Below are 19845 nucleotides of genomic sequence, written 5' to 3'. Positions count from 1 at the left end.
TTATATAGGATTTATACTTTACTTTTTTTCCAAAAGGGATTTGAGGTGACTTGCAAAATTAAGCACATATAAAATGGGTCAAAAGACTAATTTTTTAAAATAAAGCACATAAGAAAATATGCTTCCAAATAGATATTATCCTTCATATAGTCACCTTATTAAGGAAAACTTACTCCAATATTGCTTTCTTAGACATTTTAGGAATTCTTTTGGAATTGTTTTCAGAGCCAGCTTATAAACTCAAAACCTGCTTTATTGTTCTACATAGTCATACTTTTTTTTTTTAAACCCAGCTCGTTTTCCCCATTTATTCATTAGTTGCTCCGAATAACCCTCACCTCAATTAAATTCATCACCTGTTGAGGAACAAACATGTGCCACCAGGGAGGATATCTAGAATAATGTGCTGTAGACGCTAAAAGTAATTTTAAAATAAGAATTTTCAATGTTTTGAGTAGTGGTTGCAATACTAGAATAAATACATATTGCTTCTGGATAAATACAATTGCTTCTGCATATTGTTTGTTGTTGTTGTTGTTTTGAGACAGGTTCTTGCTCTGTCACCCAGGCTGCAGCACAGTGGTGCAATTGTAGTTTACTATAACCTTGAACTACTGGGCTCAAGTGATCCTCTTACCTCAAACTCCTGAATAGCAAGGACTATAGGTGTATGCCACCATGGCTGGCTAATTTTTAAATTTTCTGTAGAGAGGGGGCCTTGCTGTGTTGCCCAGTTGGATCTTGAACTGCTGGGCTCAAGCAGTCCTCCTACCCCAGCCCCCAAAAGTGCTGAGACTGTTAAGTGTGAGCCATCACGCCCAGCCTGGTAGTGATTGTTTTGAATGGGTGAAGGCTCATTTCGATGTGTAAGTTCTATTATGTTTGTTTTTAACAGATATTATTACTCATATCTCATAATACAGTTTGATTATTTTCATTTCAGAATTCCATTTTTGTTTCTGTTATTTTGAGATAATTGTCTTTTAGAGAGAGACAGCTTATTTTGGAGCAAATCCATTGATCGTTAGGTAAAAATACTCGTCATTTGTAGTTTGTTTCTTTAACTGAACTAAGCTTTATTTAAACTAAGCTACTTTGGTGTCGTCCCTTATTTAAAAATTTTTCTCAGTGGTTACACTGTTTTATTTTCTTTGGCCCAATATATTACCTATCTCTTGCTCTGATTTTCCAAGAATATTAATACCTAATAATAATACCAGTACTATCTTACCAAAAGAACAATGCTGTTGGTAGAACAGGTTTTCTCATTAAGGCTATAATATTGACAACATAGTATAGTTACAATATTTCTGGGCTGGGCATCGTGTTTCATGACTGTAATTGCAGTGCTTTGGGCAGCCAAGGCGAGAGGATCACTTAAGGCCAGGAGTTCTAGACCAGCCTGGGCAATATGGTGAGACCCCATCTTTAAAAAAAAAAAAAAATTAGCCAGGTGTGGTGGTGGATGTTGGTAAGCCCCAGCTACTGGGGAGGCTGAGGCTGAGGAGGAGGATTGCTTGAGCCTAGTAGTTTGAGGATACAGTGAGCTATGATCATGCTAGGGCATTCCAGCCAGGATGGCAGAGCAAAAAAAAAAAAAGAAAAAAAAAAAAGAAAAAAATCTGAAGCAGCCCTTAATTTGGAAGCCTCTTCTAACTAATTGCTGATAAAAGACTTCGAGTATTGCATGGACCTCTAAGTGGGGAGGAAATTTAAGCAGTAATTAAAGGAACAACTCAACTAGTTAATAAAATAATTCTGTATGTGTGATACATAATACTTGTGTACACTTCTGCTATTTAAAATATTTTATGAAAGAACAATGTTAAAACTTTCTGATTTGATAAAATTTATTAAGTTGGGTGAGAATAAGTTAGGGAAGATGGATGAAACAAAAATCCAAAATAGCAAAAGTTGTTAAAGCTGTGTGATGTGTTTAAAGCAGCTCATTACATATTTCCTCTACTTTTGTATGTATGAGTAAAAATATCCTTAATAATATTAAATTTAAAAATCATGTGGCAGAAACTAAAAAAATACCAATAAAATGGTTTTTTTAAAAAGGCATTTAAATGTTAAGGTCCTTTAGTCTTTTCATTTCCATTTGAGATATTATAGTCCTTGTTATTTTAGCTGCTATTATTTTTCTTAAACTTCAGAATTTCTTACACTACCTTCCTCAGGAAATAAAGTACTGTCTACAGTCAGGCAGTGTTTTTGAGGTGGTCCCTCCATGTTAGGAAATAATTTAAAAGAAATAATACTTCAGTGCATTATCTTACTTGTAGATGAAAGGCCTTTGTATTCATTGAGATAAACACCCTCAATACTATTATTTTTAGATATATATATTACATATGAAATATATGGCATATTTTAGGTGTATATTATTTACTTCTTAGACAACTTTTTAATATATGAGTCTATACTTAGTTTCCAAGCTTTGATTCCCTTTATGTCAAGTCTGTATCCCAGTTAAAGTTTTCACTAATATTAAATTAATCTCTCTGAATTGCAGTAATACTTGGTTTGTTTCTAGATTAGGAAATTTAAAAGATTGCTTAATAAAACCCATTTCATCTCCATTACATGGTAAGTGATAGAAAGAATCAATTACTAGTGTTTATGATCTTTACTTTTTATTGCCAATTATAAAAGCATTCAAATGTAGGCCAGATTTTTTGTGTGAATAAATGTCATGTAATAATATTAGTGGCATCAGTGAAGTTATTAAGATGAATTTTTCGCTCCCAGCATCCAGGCTATTTTCTTTTTTTTTTATTCTGGAGACGGAGTCTTGCTCTGTCACCCAGGCAAGAATGCATTGGCACAATCTCGACTCACTGCAACCTCCGCCTCCCGGGTTCAAGCAATTCTCCTGCCTCAGCCTCCTGAGTAGCTGGGACTACAGATGCACACTGCCATGCCCGGCTAATTTTTTTGTATTTTAGTAGAGACGGGGTTTCACTGTGTTGCCCAGGCAGGTCTGGAACTCCTGAGCTCAGGTAGTCCACCTGCCTCGGCCTCCCAAAGTGCTGGGGTTATAGGCGTGAGCCACCGCGCCCAGCCAAAGGCTATTTTCAACATGACTAAACTTGTTTTCAGCATACTTCTAACATAATAGCTACCTTTGATTCATTATCTCCTTTCTGCTTACACATTCTCTGGATGTTTGTTTTATCATGCAGATAATGGCCAATGAGGAAAGGACAAATGATAATGGAATTAAGTTGTATAGCAAAGATTTAGGTTAAACCTTATGAATAAGACACTAATACTGTAGTTGGTTACCTAAGCAGATCATGAGGATGTTGTGATTCTGTCACTGGGAACATTTGTTCGGTTTTGATAATCTAGTGAAGAAATCAGATTCAGACGATTATAGGGGTCCACATCAAGTTACCACATAGAGGTTCTTTTATTTTCTGTTTTTAATCCACTTCCTCCGTTTTTTCTTGGGATGAATAGACTGACAGTATTACCCAGAATACTTTATGTTATTAAAGAATGAATGTATTTCCATCTAGATTTCCAATTCATTAAGTACCTAAATTCTATTTATTTCCTTAAGACTCTTTGAAGAAGGTAGTCAAACACTTCAATTAAATGGGATAGATAATGTATGTGGAAGTATATGACCTAAAGTATAGGCTAGAGGTGCACACTGTTGGCCCATGGACCCAACTTAGACCACAGACCATAGTTTGGCTGAAAGAGTTTTTGTTTATTTAATTGGGTCAGTATTTTTATTTTTATTTTTTATTTATTTATTTATTTTTGAGACAGAGTCTCGCTCTGTCACCCAGGCTGGAGTGCAGTGGCGTGATCTCAGCTCACTGCAACCTCCGCCTCCCTGGTACCAGTGATACAGGCACGTGCCACCACGACAGGTGTGCGCCACCACACTCGGCTAATTTTTTTTGTTGTTGTATTTTTTAGTAGAGACAGGGTTTCACCATATTGGCCAGGCTGGTCTCGAACTCCTTACCTCGTGATCCGCCCACCTTGGCCTCCCAAAGTGCTGGGATTACAGGCGTGAGCCACCAAGCCGGCCTAATTGGGTCAGTGTTATACAGTTGAGAGACTACAGGTAAAAGTCTAGGTTGGCTGTTATCACGCAATTGGGAACATTTGGCTCCCATTCCCTCAGGGAAGTCAGCTACACTTGAGTAGCCACTTCCTCCTCTAGACAAGATGTGCACCCTCATGTATCCCACTTCACACATTAATTCACTTGCCTAGTCTTGACATAGATGTTTGTAATGTATTAGTTGAATCTGAATTTCAGAGAGTTGTCAGGTAAACTTTATAGTACCTTGAGAAATTGGTTATAAAAATGAGTTATCTGTATAAGCCTGAATAAGTCAGACATAAATCATGCATAGGTTTTAAGAAGACTTCCTGGGCTGGATTGATTGGTCCTCTTTTTGTCTCTCTATACTTTCTTAGTCATTTGATTAGTCTTAGTTATTGATCTCCTAAAACTTATTATAAATATCTAAATGTATATCCCCTCTAATATGCCATGAGCTATAAGCTCTTTCACGGCCCAGGATCATACATTATTTTGTTTCTTCTTCTCAGCTTCTAGTACCTGGTACACTGTAGGTATCCAAATGTTTGTTAAATTCTTCTAACTTTAGTATAGGCATTTGAGTGCTGTGATCTGTTTTTATTTTTGAAAAAAAAAATATTAGCTATTTCTGTTTTTGTATTACAAGCAGCTCCTTTGGTTAAAGACGATTTTTAAAAGTTATTTCAATAATTTTCAATTTTTCTGTCTTAAATTGAAAACAGTACTGAAAATACAAGATATTTGTAAGTGTTCAGATTCTCAGATGGAATATTTTTGAAGTAGGTATTTTTTTCATTTTATTTAAAAATATTCTTCTAATATTCTTAGTATTTTTTAAACAAATAACTCTTAATTACCATTTAATTTTGCATTTGCTTGCAATAAACTGAAATTGGCAGTTGCTCAAACTCCACTTTACTTATTTACACATCTAGTTATTTGGGAATGTGTTTTACTTTGTATTACTAAAAGTATTGCTATGATATCTAGCTGTTTTAAGTAAATTAAAATTGAGGCCATTTTAGGAAATTTGCTTTGAAAATTTAGAAAGATATGAAAATATCTTTTTTAGGTCATTTGTGATCTCTTAGGTTAGAGATAGGATTTTTGCCTGTGTCTATTTAATGTGTTAGGAGGATTTTCATATAGTTTTGGAAAATGGAAAAAAGTCCTTGGGCATTTGTTTATATGATAATTGGAAAGATCTCACTTAAAATTTTCTCAGAGAAAAATGTGCGTTATCACCTTTTCTAGTTAGAGGCTTAGAGAACCAACATCATGTAGCCTACAGCTAAATAGATGAGCATGTTGATGTTGATCATTCTTATAACATAAAAGCAAATGACTATTCTTGGGTGGTTGGGTTGCATTTTTGGTTTTCATTGTGACTGTTGGTAGTGTTGTAATGCTTTTAGGACTTTTAGACATTGCATCTGGTCATTTCTGCTCTTCGGTTGAGTACCCCAAAAATCCAAGAATTGGAGGAGCCCAGTGACATGTTTTCAAAAACCTAAATGTCTCTAGGGAAAATGACTCCCTATAAAGTTAAACATAATGCATATCTTTAAAGTGTCAGTATATTTAATGGATTATGTATCTTCAACTCAGTTATTTTACTAGACTAGGTAGTTTCTTTTAACTTTATAGAGTATAAATTGGCTTACTAAGGGCAGATTTCCACTGACAATCAAAATTTAAAAATTTCCTTCCATTCCAAATTTAGATATCTGGTTAGATTTTTAGCAGTGTGCAGTTGATTCTAGTCATCTTGATAATGATGACTAGAATCTTGATAATGACTAACCTAGTAGTTAGGTATAGGTAGACTCAGCTAAAATGGGTACTTGGAAGCAAGATGAGGCCACTCTGGTATTTGTATCCTTTATTCAGTCTGTTTCACTACCCATAGTTTAATTTTAAACACCATTTGCCAGCTGTATTCAGTTTCTATCGTGTTAGCCTGAAATGTGCTAGAGAAAATAAACTAAGACCAATAGACTTATTTTTCTGTTTGTCTTTCGACTTAACATTTTAGGATCAGACTTGGCTTGTATTCCAGACTCAGGGTGCCAGAAAAGTAAATAATACACAATAATACTTAGGCTTATCTTCAATACCCTTGTTTTGTTATGGCCAATTAGGCTAATTTTAGTGATGGTCAGAGGCTTCTAAATTGGAGGGCAGTAGTAACTCCTGTAAATACCAATTTCCAAATGGTATCTCTCTGTTCCAGCCCATCACAACAGTTTTAAAACCAGCTTTTGTTTTTGTTTTTGTTTTGTTTTGTTGCTTTTTGTTTTTTAACAGGAGAGCCAGTGTAACTCCTTCAAGACTGGAGTGACACACACTGCATCTGCATCTGCCTCATGTGAGTTCTCATTTTGGCAGCAGCACTCTGCTAGGCTGGAACCTCTGTAGAGGTTTGCCCTTTATTTTTCTAAATCTATAAATTACTACATAGTGTGTCTTGGTGGCAATGGTAAAAAGTGCATGAGAATTCCAAACTTCTCTGCAGAAAGTTTTCTGCTCATTCCAAAGGGACTTTGTCCTTTAATATGTATTCTATCTTGTATGAACAGCATCTACTCAAAACAGAGCCCACAACTTTCATCCTGAAAACATAGTTATTTTTTGAAGAACTGTTTTTTCCTTGCAGATTATGGAGTAAAGAATATCTTTAAATGCTCTCAGTAACTTCAACTTTCAAAGCGTTGGTTGTTTTCTTTATAGTCTAATTATGTAACCTGAGAACACTGTGTGCTGTCCTAGTGGCTGAAGCAGTCCTCCTTTTGGGACTCTAGCCCTTAAAATAGCTTCTTCCTTTGTCTTCCGATATTGAGTAACTAGGGGTAGGCCAGAGTACCTTCTGGGAGAAGAAATAAGCAGATATTGTGTGAAGTTATGTTTACTCTGAAGCTATTGCCTGGGTTTTGGAACCACAGAAAGTCAATTGTGAGAGTTGAGCTTGAAGCTGTGCATCATTTACTTGCCACAGTTGTGGGAGAGAAATTGAAATTAGAGCCTTTGCAGCTGTGGAGAGGCATAAAGCTCTAAGTCTGAGGAGATATATGTGGTTTCCTATAAATATCTGAGGCTGGCTTTGTAGGGCCTGGTTGATTAAAAAAGGAATTTTATTTTTTATATTTTACTTTTATTTTTAAAGGAATGGCAGTACTTAGCTTCAGGAATTTTTGCCACCAGGTCACAATAAATATGTTTATCACTGAGGGACACTTAGAATAAAACATCTAAATTCATGCTCTGTGTGGCTGCAATTCTGCGTCTCCAACCTTGGTTGTACTATATAGCAGATAATTTAATGACCAAGGAGTTTGTGTTGCTGAAATGATTATCTGGGAAAATCATTTGTGATTATCTGGGAAAACTGACATTTTCTCATAAGCTTGTAGGTCTTACTGATTAATAGAGCTTGATGAAATAGTGTTGTCAGGGTAGAACTTGGACTCTCTTTATTAAATCCATTCCCACTTGTGAGTAGAGCAGTTTATTTTGGACTAGTTGAAAAAAATTGGAGGGAGAAGTGTATGTTTCAACACCCAAGCTTAAGTTTTGATGGCTTATGTAATCTAGAAATTCACTTTTTGCAGTGGTAGTATATATACCCTATCACAAAGAGCTTTTGTTTGTTTGCTTTTTGAGATGAAGTCTCACTCTGTTGCCCAGACTGGAGTGCAGTGGTGCAGTCTTGGATCACTGCAACCTCCGCCTCCTGGGTTCAAGCATTTCTCCTGCCTCAGCCTCCTAAGTAGCTGGGACTGCAGGTGCGAGCCACCACGCCCAGCTAATTTTTGTGTTTTTAGTAGAGACGGGGTTTCGCCATATTGGCCAGGGTGGTCTCAAACTCCTGACCTCAAGTGATCCACACGCCCCGGCCTCCCAAAGTGCTGGGATTACAGGTGTAAGTGCTGGGATTACAGGTGTGAGTTACCACTCCTGGCCTTACAAAGAGCTTTTGGAGACTCAAAGAGACCTAAATTTTGGCTTCAGCTGATGTTTGTACTTGCTATATAACTTCACGTCAGCAAATGGGGAAGATATATCATATTTTTAGGAAGTACTCTGAGTTCATTGAGAAAAAGGAAATTTAAAGTATTTCCATAGGTGGAATTTCTAGAAAGTCACTTCGGTTGAACACTTGGGAAATTCTGCCCTGCCAATAAATATAATGTGGCAAGTATAGTGTTTTTATTTTCTGCTATTCTAGGATTTGTGCTGTCAAAATGGGGATTTGAGACTTTTTCTCTCCTGTATTGTTTTTCACTGAAAATTATGAGTACATTAATTTGTGCTTCAAATCCAAATTGTCTCATAGACATAGGTTTTACTCGATAGTCACTCCATTGCTCTATAGTTACCTAATTTCTCTAGCTGGAGAAATTGCTGATTTAGGGGTGAGTGTGGGTGGGAGTAATTAAGGTTTGTTTTTTGTCTCCCACTCTTAAGGCATATCCAGCAAATTGTCCTTCTGAAAAAATTAACAATTGAAAACATTTTATATGGACCAAATCCTGTAAGAATAAATGTCAGTAGATTACCCAAATTACTTAGCTATACTGGAACTTTATTTCATTAAATACAGTTTGAAATAAATGGGGCCTTGGTTAGGATTGAGAAATAATTTTTGTTTTATGGAGATTGTACTAAAATGAGATTTACTTGCAACTGGGGTGGGAGCATGGGGCATTGAGGAGGGTAAGGTGAGAGTGGTTATACTTATAACAAATTTACAACAGTAGGTGCCATGCCTTATGGTTTTATGATACACCAGCTCTTACTCTATTAGTGTATATAGCACTTTATTTTTTTATCCACAGTGTACATCATATAGATTTAGGAATTCCACACTTAAGTCTTCAACAAGTTTTTTTTAGGGGGATGGGAGAGGATGAGGCAGGATTTAAGGGGAAGAAGGTAATATAGCCAGTTTTGAAAATGTTAGCCATGGCTGGGCATGGTGGCTCAGCCTGTAATAGCAGCACTTTGGGAGCCCGAGGCAGGCGGATCACTTGAGGTCAGGAGTTCGAGACCAGCCTGGCCAACATGGTGAAACCCCCGTCTCAACTAAAAATACCAGGTGTGGTGGCGGGCACCTGTAATCCCAGCTACTTGGGAGGCTGAGTCATGAGAATCGCTTGAATCTGGGAGGCAGAGGTTGCAGTGAGTCAAGATCACGGCCACTGCACTCCAGCCTGGGCAATGGAGCGAGACTCTGACTCAGAAAAAAAGAAAAAGAAAAAGAAAAAAAAAAGTTAGCCAGGGTTAGCATTGGCATTAAATTATTATTACCCTTGTGACAACAAAAGAAATAAAGATGGTTTTTTTCTTTTGGCATTGTTCTGATGAGACTCAAAAGACCTTAAAAGGCTTCTGGTTTTAAAATCTGACAAATATTTATTAAAGGATTTTGAAAGCCCAGCTTGCTTTTTAAAAACTTCAGTTTAATTTTAAAAATAGATATACATTAATGTAAGTTTTAAAGGTACAAGAAGTACATGACAGTTTCCTTCCCTGTCTCTTAAAGGCCACTCAGTTCCTTTCCTACGTGGCAACTAGTATTACTGTTATATATTTCCAGAAATATTCTAAAGGATTGTTTTTGGAAAGGGAAAGTTGAATCACACTCATTAAAGTATTAGCACCAACTTGGATAGGTAGACTAATTGCAATGAAAAATCAGTTTGCGCCAAAAGCTAAAGATGTTAATAGTAGATGGAAGAACTATAATAATAATAGTTGCATTATTATGAGATTACAAGAATAGGATGGATATTTTTGCCTCATTTGGCATTTAGCAAGCTAGCAGGTCTTTTTAGCTGTTATTTTTAATATGGCTTACTCACTCCTGGAGACTGATGGAAAGATGCTTACCTAAATATTTCATTTGGAAGAAACCTATTTAAAGGAGCAACATTTTCTTTTCTTTTCTTTTTTTTCTTTTTGAGACAGTCTCACTCTGTCGCCAAGGCTGGAGTGTAGTGGCACGGTCTCGGCTCACTGCAGCCTCCACCTCCTGGGTTCAAGCGATTCTCCTGCCTCACCCTCCCGAGTAGCTGGGATTACAGGTGCCCGCCACAACGTCCAACTAATTTTTGTGTTTTTAGTAGAGACGGGGTTTCACTGTGTTGGCCAGGCTGGTCTGGAACTCCTGACCTCAAGTGATCCGCCCGCCTTGGGCTCCCAAAGTGCTGGGATTACAGGCGTGAGCCACCGCACCTGGCCGCAACATTTTCTTTCTGCTTGAATTTCAGTAGTAAACTCTGAAAAGTTTTTTCATTATGGAAAATTTCAGACTTACACAATAGAGAGAGAACCCCTCATTGCCTGAAATCCCTGTTATTTGACCTGTAACAAACTCAATGCTCCTTTGGCAGATAAGGAGAGATTTAGTTTTATATACACATTTGCATATTTTTTTTTTTTAGACAGAGTCTCGCTCTGTCACCCAGGCTGGAGTGCAGTGGCATGATCTCAGTTCACTGCAACCTCTGCCTCTCAGGTTCAAGCGATTCTCCCACCTCAGCCTCCTAGCTGGGACAACAGGCATGCGCCACCACACCCGGCTAATTTTTTGTATTTTTAATAGAGACGGGGGTTTCACCATGTTGGTCAGGCTGGTCTCGAACTCTTCACCTCAAGTGATCTGCCCGCCTCGGCTTCTCAAAGTGCTGGAACTACAGGCATGAGCCACCACGCCTGACCAATTCTTCAATATCTAACTCCATTTCATATTTAGATTTCCCTAATTGTCACAAACATGTCTTTTTATGGTTGGTTTACAATAATAACCTGCAAAATACAATTTTGATGGCATACATTGTTAGAGCTGATAAGAAAACAGTTAATCTAACAAGTGGAACAAATATGTTGATTGGAGAAGGCATATAAAGCAATTACCCAAGCCAAACAGGAATTCCAAAAATAAATTATTTTAAAAGTTCATTTTGAAGGATTTCTGCAACAATTATGCACAACACCGAAGCCTTCAGCATACATAGACCTCCCTTACCTAGTTTTCTGTGTACTTTTATTCTCACGATTAATATCACAGCTATGCATATTCATTTTTTTAAACTGTGGGAATGAAAGAATAAAGGAAAAAAAAGTTTGGAATAGGTTTCCTGAGAATGAAGGAACTATACTGAATAATTTGATAATTCAGCTTGTTGCTGTGCTCCTGCTATATAATATGACCTATTTCCACAGACTAACAATTGAGTTCTCTAATTACTTGGGGCAATACAGAACATGGAGTTTGAGGGGGAAGAAGAAAAATGGCAGAATTAGGAGGGGGGAAGAACTGGGAAAGAGCAGAAATTCATTCATTTGCATTCTGTTTTAATTGGCTGTTCTTTCTGCTAACTAATGAAAACCTCCTCTTTGTGCAGTGTACAAGTCCCCAGAGTATGAGTCCCTTGGTTTTGAGCTTACTGTGGAGAGATTAGTTTCTATTGGCTATCCCCAGGAGTTGCTCAGCTTTGCTTATGATTCTACATTCCCTACCAGGTAATTTTTAAAGATATTTTTGGATTAAGACTAGATTAAGACTACTTTCCTTACCCCTCAAATTAGACATTCCAGATTTATCCTTAACAAAAAAACCCCCCAAAACATTGAATAATTCTTTGTTGTTTTTTTGGTTGGTTGATGTTGATTCTAAAATTACCATGAACTTTCCATATACACCATATCTTGGTGTTCCTGAATTAAGCTCAGTTTATTGCAACTGAGGAAGACCCACTTACAGGTAAAAAAGGAGATTACTAAAACTGATGGGCAGTAATCACAGGTGGTGCTATTTGGGGCTGTTGGCAAATAGGTACGTGTTTCTCTAATACACTTAACATGATAGAAGCTTGGCAGTTTCCATTTCTGGATTTGATAGGGAATATTTAAGATTAAGAAAATGATGTTTGAGATGCTATCATATATATCCCACATACAGCATCTAATGGAGAAAAATATAAGCCTTCTCAGTTGTCCAAGAAAAAAGACTATGTTTTAGAATGGTACCAGCTGTGTAGTAAGAAGAATGTTTTTTATACCTTGTTTGATTAAGCACTTATTCCTTACAGAAAACAATTATGATTTTCTGTCTGGACGGAGTCAATATTTTTTAGTTGCTTTAGAATTAGTTTTTAAGATTTTACTCACTTTAGCTATATTAGGACATACTTTGAGTTGGTACAAAGCTTGAATTAAATGAGGTTGGTTCATGATGATTAAATACTACTACATAAAATTATTGCCTGTATTACTTTGCATTATCAATAATGTCTTCATTTTCACATAGGGGACTTGTCTTTGACACACTGTATGGAAATCTTTTGAAAGTCGATGCCTATGGAAACCTCTTGGTCTGTGCACATGGATTTAACTTTATAAGGGGGTGAGTACAGAGAACCTTTAGCCTCTTTCTAATGTTAAAGTCAAACAATGTGAAGATGACATCATCTCCCCAGATGTAATATATTTCCCTATTACTTTTCATCATTAAAGAGCAAATTCCCTTACATAAGGTTAGTTAACAGTTATTTATTAGGCAGTTGGAACCCAAACTGACATATAGTTAGCAATTACATTTTGTTTAAATTAAGTGCCTTCCAATTATACAGCATACAACAAAACTAATCTTAAAACTTGCCCAGAAGAACTTTAGTAGTTTTGACTTATTTGAAATTCTAAGATTTTTATTTTCTTCTTTCTAATACAGTTCTCAGGTAGCTGTTCAGAAGAGGTATGTATATAAAAATGCTTTGAAAAAATTTTAAACTATAGCAATTTAAATGATTAAGAGATTTTTAATAGCCAATACGTTTTTTAGATTCTAATGAATCTAAACTTTGAATCCTGACATTTGATTGTGTCATTAAAAAAATGTAAACATAAGGTTAAAGTGAATATGTGCTAATAATATTTTAAACAAATAAGAATAAGCTTTATTTTCAAAATAAAAATATTTCCACTATTGTCACTAATTTGAACTTTTTACCCTAGTAAACAGCAGATGAAATTTAGTATCTACTATTTTTTTGTGAAATGTCCCGATATTTTCAAATCATAATGCCACAATTTGACAACTTCTGTAGCTATAGCTTTACTGTTATACATTTTCTCTACTGTTATGCCACCTTATTTACTATTGACATTGTATTAAGGTCAGAACAACAGCTCGTAAAACCAGAATAGGATGTGTGTCAGTCTCTTATGTAACTTTTCCATTTACTATTCATTCTTGATGGCAGAATAGGAAAAACACCAGGCTACATTGAAATGTTTAAAAAGACAATGTCTTTTTTTGTGATAAGAGGCACAAACCAACTGTAATTGTACCAGAGCTTCCTTTAGATTTGAGGTCACAGGATGCCCCTTAGAATTGAAGCATCTAAGACTCTTTAGTTGGCATTACTGACATTACACAGGCTCAGAGATTTCCATGTATACATGAGAACGGTGTGAAGTAAACACCCATCTTGACACATCTGAGCAGGCCAGTGATTACATCCACATTTCTTTCACTGTTTCTTTCATGAGGGGGTTTGTTCAGGATCCATGAAAATATCAGGAAACAGGATTTAGAATATGAAGTAATTACAGGTTGTACTAGTAACTTAAGCTATTTTATACACAGATATTGTCATCATAACTCAGAATCTCAATGAAGATGAACCAGGGTTCTATTATGTCTAAAAAGGAATTTTTGTATTATAAGGGAGGGGTAGGCAGAGAAGAAAAGAGAAGCAGTTGGATAAGTTAGTACTACGATCAAATTTCCAACTCAAGATCCACAGACTTCCTCTCTTCCCTTAAATAAGCCAATAAAGTTTCCACATAGCTCCTTTGCTAATGCATTTAATAGTGTTTCAAAAATAAGTCATTTATGAGTAAATGCAGAATCATTCAAATAGCACTTAGCACTGTGCAGTCTTTAGAGTTAAACAGAAAAGCTGGCCAGGCACAGTGGCTTACGCCTATAATCTCAGCACTTTGGGAGGACAAGGCAAGAAGACTTCTTGAGCCTAGGAGACCAGCCTGGACAATAAAGTGAAACCCTATCTCTACAAATATCAAAAATTAGCTGGGCATGGTGGTACATGCCTTTGGTCCCAGCTATATGGGAGACTGAGGCAGGAGGAGTGCTTGAGCCCAGGAGGTTGAGGCTGCAGTGAGCTGTGTTGGTGCCACTGTAGTACAGCCTGTGTAACAGAGCAAGACCCTATCTCAAAAAAATAAAAATAAATTAATAAAATTAAAATTCCCATGAAAAGAAGAGACTGAAGATAGAGGGAAAGAAAGTTATCGAAGCTATTACAGTGGTAGACAAGGCTGGAAAAGAAGGACTCCATCAGGCTTTGCTAATGAGTTAGGACCTTATTTTTTGATAAATTTTTATTCTGTGGGTCACAGAAAGTTAGTAGTAATCTGTGCTGTAACTGTTTTCTTCCCATTCCAAGTGTAGCATTTCTTTTATGATATATTACCTCCCCCAAATTGATTTTTATTTTAAATATATACTAGTGTGATTTGACACTGAAGTTTACAATGTAATTGCTAACTATATTTATAAATCAATTTGGGTTCTAACTGCCTAATAAATGTTAACCATCTTTATGTAAAGGAATTTTTCTTTAATGATGGAGGGAATAGGGAAGTATATTGTATCTAAGGAGACAGTGTCAGCTTATTAAATCTAACTGAAGAAAGTATATTTTTACTGTTACCTTCCACCTTACTTTTATTAAAGAAAATCTTGGAAAGCTAGAAGATAAGATACTCTACAAAGTTATTCATTATTGGGAACTCTCATCTCAGAAGAGTGACTTAAGACAGGGAGCTAATGTGATTTTTATATGTCTAACTAGAGTTTATGCCATTTGTAGTTAACAAACCCAGGCAGGAATTAATCCAGGTCACTCTGAGTGTGAGCTTTAAATTTGATTTCCTTTATTTACATTGTTAATCTCCATGTATTCACTGTCAGAACTGTGCATTTTTATATTTTAGTATTTTTCCCTTTGAGTTTCTCTGAAATGTTTTCTTCTAGAAGTGTTTTTGCATCTTTAACAAATTCTGCTTCACTGGCTTTTTTCTTTTAAACCTTGAATTTTCTTCATGGTTCTGTTCTGTCTCTTCTCTTCCTTCTCTGCACACTAAGTGGTTTCATCTCCTCTAATACTTTTCATGATTCCATCTAGTATCTGTACGTAGATGATCTCAGTTATCTCTCAAGGCTGAATCTCTTTTAAGTTCTTGACCTTTGTTTCTAATTGCCTAATAAAAATCAGTTTACTTCAAACTTAGTATCACTAAAATAGAACTACTCTCACATCACTTCTTATCTAGTTTTCATATTTCTGTTCATCGTACCAACCACCTCTCAGAGACACCTTAGCATGGACATCATCATCTTTGACTCTTTAATGTTCCCCCAGCCAAATCTGCTCAGTTTGCCGGGTCTTATTTTACCTTGGTAATCTCTCTTGAATATATGAGTGAGCTGAGATCACGCCACTGCACTCCAGCCTGGCCGACAGAGTGAGACTCTGTCTCAAAAAAAAAAAAAGAAAAAAGAAAAAATTCTGAGAGTCAACTGGGTGATTCTGGGTTGCACAGCTGATCTCTCTATGCTCTTTCACATGTCTGTGGTTAGCTGGTGGGTGACCTGGCATCTGATCTACAATGGCCTCATGCACATGTCTGGCATTCACAGGCTGTTGGCCGAGTGCTTCATTTCTACATGTAGCCTTCTATCCTCCAGCAGACTATCTCACTGTCATGCACATAGTAGTCCATGGTTCCAAGTGCTGCAAGAGAGATTAAGCCTCAATACACACATGTTTTTCTAGGTCTCTGCTTGGATCCCATTTGCTGCTATACAAGCCTATATTCAAGGATAGAGAAATAGACTGAGTTCTAATGGGAGGAGCCACAAAATTGCATCACAAAGAGACAGGAAGAATTTGTGGCCATTGTTGGAGTGCATCACATTGTCTTTCCCCAGTTTATCCTAAAACAGCCACTAATTTAATTTTGTTTTACAACTCAGCCCCGATGGGATTATCCTCTGCTTTAAAACTGTCAGTAGTACCCTCTTGCCCCTAAATGGTGTAGAAACAGTAGCTTAATCTGCCTCAACCCATCTTTCTAGCTTAATTTTTCTCTGCTCCCCTTTCTCTACCCAAGTTGGACTAGTTTCACAACTGGTCCACCTAGCCTTTAAGGCCCAGCTCATATACCAGCACGTGCATGAATCCTTCCTAGATTTTCCTCTCCTTAGTCCTCACATTTGCTTCTCTCTACCTCTTAAGTTGAAATGGTGTTCCCTTCTTTGGTTTTCTCATAAATGTTTGCACCTTTCTTGTAGTAGTTGTGATTTTTTACCTTATAATTATATGTGTATGTGACCCACCTCGCCCACCACACTGACAACTCTTTTAAGAGCTGGAACCTAAGCTGGACATCACACCTGTAATCCCAGCTACTTGGGAGGCTGAGGTGGGAAGATTGCTTGAGCAATCTTCAGGAGTTTGAGTCCAGCCTGGACTTAAAATAGCAAGACTGTCTTAAAAAAAAAAAAAAATTAAAATTAAAAAAAATAAAGAGCTGGAACCTGAACTCGTTCATCTTCATAGCTATCCATGCGTAATATTCGGAATTCTGTCTTGCACATAGCCATCAAAATATTTGAGTTAATTTTTGAATAATGCTATTTCCCAATTATTATAATGTTATTTTAAAAATCAGTTAATTTTTAAATTTTTCTTTCAGACCAGAAACTAGAGAACAGTATCCAAATAAATTTATCCAGCGAGATGATACTGAAAGATTTTACATTCTGAACACACTATTCAACCTACCAGGTAGATTCATTCTATGCTTATTTATACTGATGCTTTCCCTTCTGTGACCATTAGTCTGTATTCAAGGGAGGTAATGAAATAAGTTTGAATTATTTCATTATAGCTTATGAATATCTGTTCTTCATTTTTCAGAGACCTACCTGTTGGCCTGCCTAGTAGATTTTTTTACTAATTGTCCCAGATATACCAGGTATGTATATACTATAATTATTTTTTTCCAATTGATTTTTAAAATTAATGCACAGGGTTTTAGAGAACTGGCCATTGTAGGTCTTTTCTGCTTTTCTAAAGTGAATTTAGTGCTAGTGAGAGATGCCACATTGCCAACCTGAGAGATGGGACAGCACCAGCAGCTCCATGCAGGCTCTCACCTCCCACACGGCCCCTCTCCTTGCCAGTGTGCTGCAGCCACCACTTCTGATTGGCTTCTCCTGGGAATGAAGACGGCCAGCAGAGGTGCTAATTGTGACAACTGAGTGGGAGGTTTGTGTGATGATTATCTGTCCAAGCAGAATTACACTAAAACCCCCCAACTCATTTCACAGCAGCTACCCAGGAGCCATTCAGGGATGGTAATTTAATTTCATTCCCAGGCCAGGCAAGATTTGATTAAGGAATAAATACTGTGTATCTTATCAGAAGTAAAATTTTGCGTAAGTCTTAAACAAGTTATCCTCTCCCTTTAGGGAGAATTATATAGCCAATACTGAAAGTTTAGCCATCTATATACCAGAGTTGGCTAACTTCTTATCCTCTTTGGGCTTTATCCACTTGAAGACACTAAATTTGGTGGAAAGCTGAGTCACTGAACTAAATAAAAAAATGGACAGTACCTTTGTACTTAGGGACAGTGTCAGGAAAGTCAGGGTGGAAAGAACCTAAATGACCAATTTTAAGTTTTAAATGTTTCTTCAACCTGTTTCTAAAAAGTGATAAATAAAAAAACCTGACATTTTTGGAACTTTGGCCTTTTAGCTTCCATTCAATATATTCTTCTATCACTTTGTATTTGTTCACAATTACTGTATTCCATTGAACACTATAGCCATTTCTGGTGGTCAAAGTGGACTTTCATTAGGGAGTAATTATTTTCCTCATTAGCCACAGCCTTTACCCATGTGATATGGAACCTTTGGGTCCCCTGGGAAATTTTTGATATATATTTTGTTTACCCTGTTTTGGATCCCCTGTCATGTTATTTTTATCTTTCTGTAGTTGTGAAACAGGATTTAAAGATGGGGACCTCTTCATGTCCTACCGGAGTATGTTCCAGGATGTAAGAGATGCTGTTGACTGGGTTCATTACAAGGTACCTAGAAGCTGTTTCTTCACCTGCTTGCTTTCTGGCATGTATTTTATGGCGTGGCATTAACTTTCCAAATGGAGCAGAATATTTCTTTTTTTAAAAAAAGAAAAAACAGATTTGCCCCCGCCTAGTGATAGCCCTCTAGAATACATTTGTTCTTGTCTTTGGTCTCGGTGGTAATGTTGATCTTTCCTCAGTGATGGTGTTTGGCTTCTGGATTTTATTTTAGTTTGCATTTCTCAAACTTAGAAGAGGTTTTAGTGTATTACATTATACTTAACATATCCTTTGTGGATGACAGTGGTCCATTTTTTTTGTCCAGATACCTCCCACCCGACTAATAACATTAATAAATATTAAATTTACATGTATTATAAACTATTGAATAAAATATGAAATGCCTTTTAATTTCAAACTTAAAATAGAAACTGTTTTATATTTTGAAGACAAATTTTAGAGGCAGGGTTGCAGCAAATCATACCTGCTACTTTTTTCTGGCCTTCTCTAGTTTGTCCACTTTTCCATTTTGGTAAATCCTTAAGAAATGCATTTGGGGCTGGGCATGATGGCTCATGCCTGTAATCCCAGCACTTTGTGATGCCAAGGCAGGTGGATTGCTTGAGCTCAGGAGTTCAAGACTAGCCTGGGCAACATGACAAAACCCTGTCTGTACAAGAAATACAGAAAATTAGCCAGGCATGTTGGTGTGGACCTGTGGTCCTAGCTACTTGGGAGGCTGAAGTGGGAGGATCACCTGAGCCTGGGGAGGTCGAGGCTGCAGTGAGCTGAGATTGTACCACTGCACTCTAGCATGGGCAACAGGGTGACCTTGTCTCAAAAAAAGAAAGGATTTGGGTTGATTAGTAAAAACCATTTTTCTTATAAACTACATGTTAAAAACTGATTTTGTTCTTTTCTTAATTCTTTTTTTTGTCTTCCTCCAGGGCTCCCTTAAGGAAAAGACAGTTGAAAATCTTGAGAAGTATGTAGTCAAAGATGTAAGTAATATAGGGGAAAATAGATCTGCATAATAGCTCATTTTACCTATTAGGGAAATTAATAACAAGCTGATTTATAATGAAATGGACAAAAGAAGAGATTTGTCTTGGCATAGTATGTGTCGGGTATAATCACCAAGAATATTCAGCTAGAGCATAGGTCTTAGTAGAGTTTTTCCTGTTTCTTGATAGGCAAGAAGACTCAGTATTTCATTTTTCCTGTTTCTTGATAGGCAAGAAGACTCAGTATTGCATTTGTTCGCTTAGCTTCAATTATAATAGCAGTTAGAGGTTTACTGTATGCACATCATCACCATGCTAAGTGATTACATGCATTATGCCATTTAATCTTCTGTATGACCTTGAGTTAGGTATTATTGTTGCCTCTGTTTTATAGATAAAAAACCTGAGAAATAGAGGGATTAAATAACTTGCCAGAGGTCACACAGTTAGTAAGTAGTAAAGCTAAGTCACACCCAAATCATAACTACTGCACTAGATCATCTCAAAAATGTGCATATATGTTACTGTTATTTAAAATGCCTTTAACCTGTCAACAGAGAGTAATGAGGAAAGCTTTAAAGTACC

At 36.7% G+C, this 19845-nt stretch overlaps 1 protein-coding gene across 53 annotated transcripts in view; it reads left to right on the top strand.

Moving 5' to 3' along the window:
- The window catches only part of NT5C2 (5'-nucleotidase, cytosolic II), a 105256-nt gene that overhangs the window by 75085 nt on the left and 10326 nt on the right, over window positions 1-19845 (top strand). For 15 of the 53 annotated variants that reach the window (XM_047424854.1, XM_047424856.1, XM_047424855.1 and 12 more), the window contains 6 exons: window positions 11482-11599; window positions 12387-12482; window positions 16862-16953; window positions 17086-17143; window positions 18169-18262; window positions 19204-19257. In XM_047424854.1, the coding sequence (XP_047280810.1) occupies window positions 11482-11599; window positions 12387-12482; window positions 16862-16953; window positions 17086-17143; window positions 18169-18262; window positions 19204-19257 (512 nt within the window). Of the gene's footprint in view, window positions 1-6382; window positions 6444-11481; window positions 11600-12386; window positions 12483-12806; window positions 12831-16861; window positions 16954-17085; window positions 17144-17223; window positions 17437-17506; window positions 17526-18168; window positions 18263-19203; window positions 19258-19845 lie in introns of those variants that run through there. The other 38 variants (XM_047424852.1, XM_047424853.1, XM_011539537.2 and 35 more) reach the window with 13 other exon arrangements.

The sequence above is a fragment of the Homo sapiens genome, chromosome 10 (assembly GCF_000001405.40).
Source record: "Homo sapiens chromosome 10, GRCh38.p14 Primary Assembly".
Taxonomy (NCBI): Eukaryota; Metazoa; Chordata; class Mammalia; order Primates; family Hominidae; genus Homo; species Homo sapiens.
Note: the sequence above shows the minus strand (reverse complement) of the source record. Positions and strands in the feature narration are given on the sequence as shown.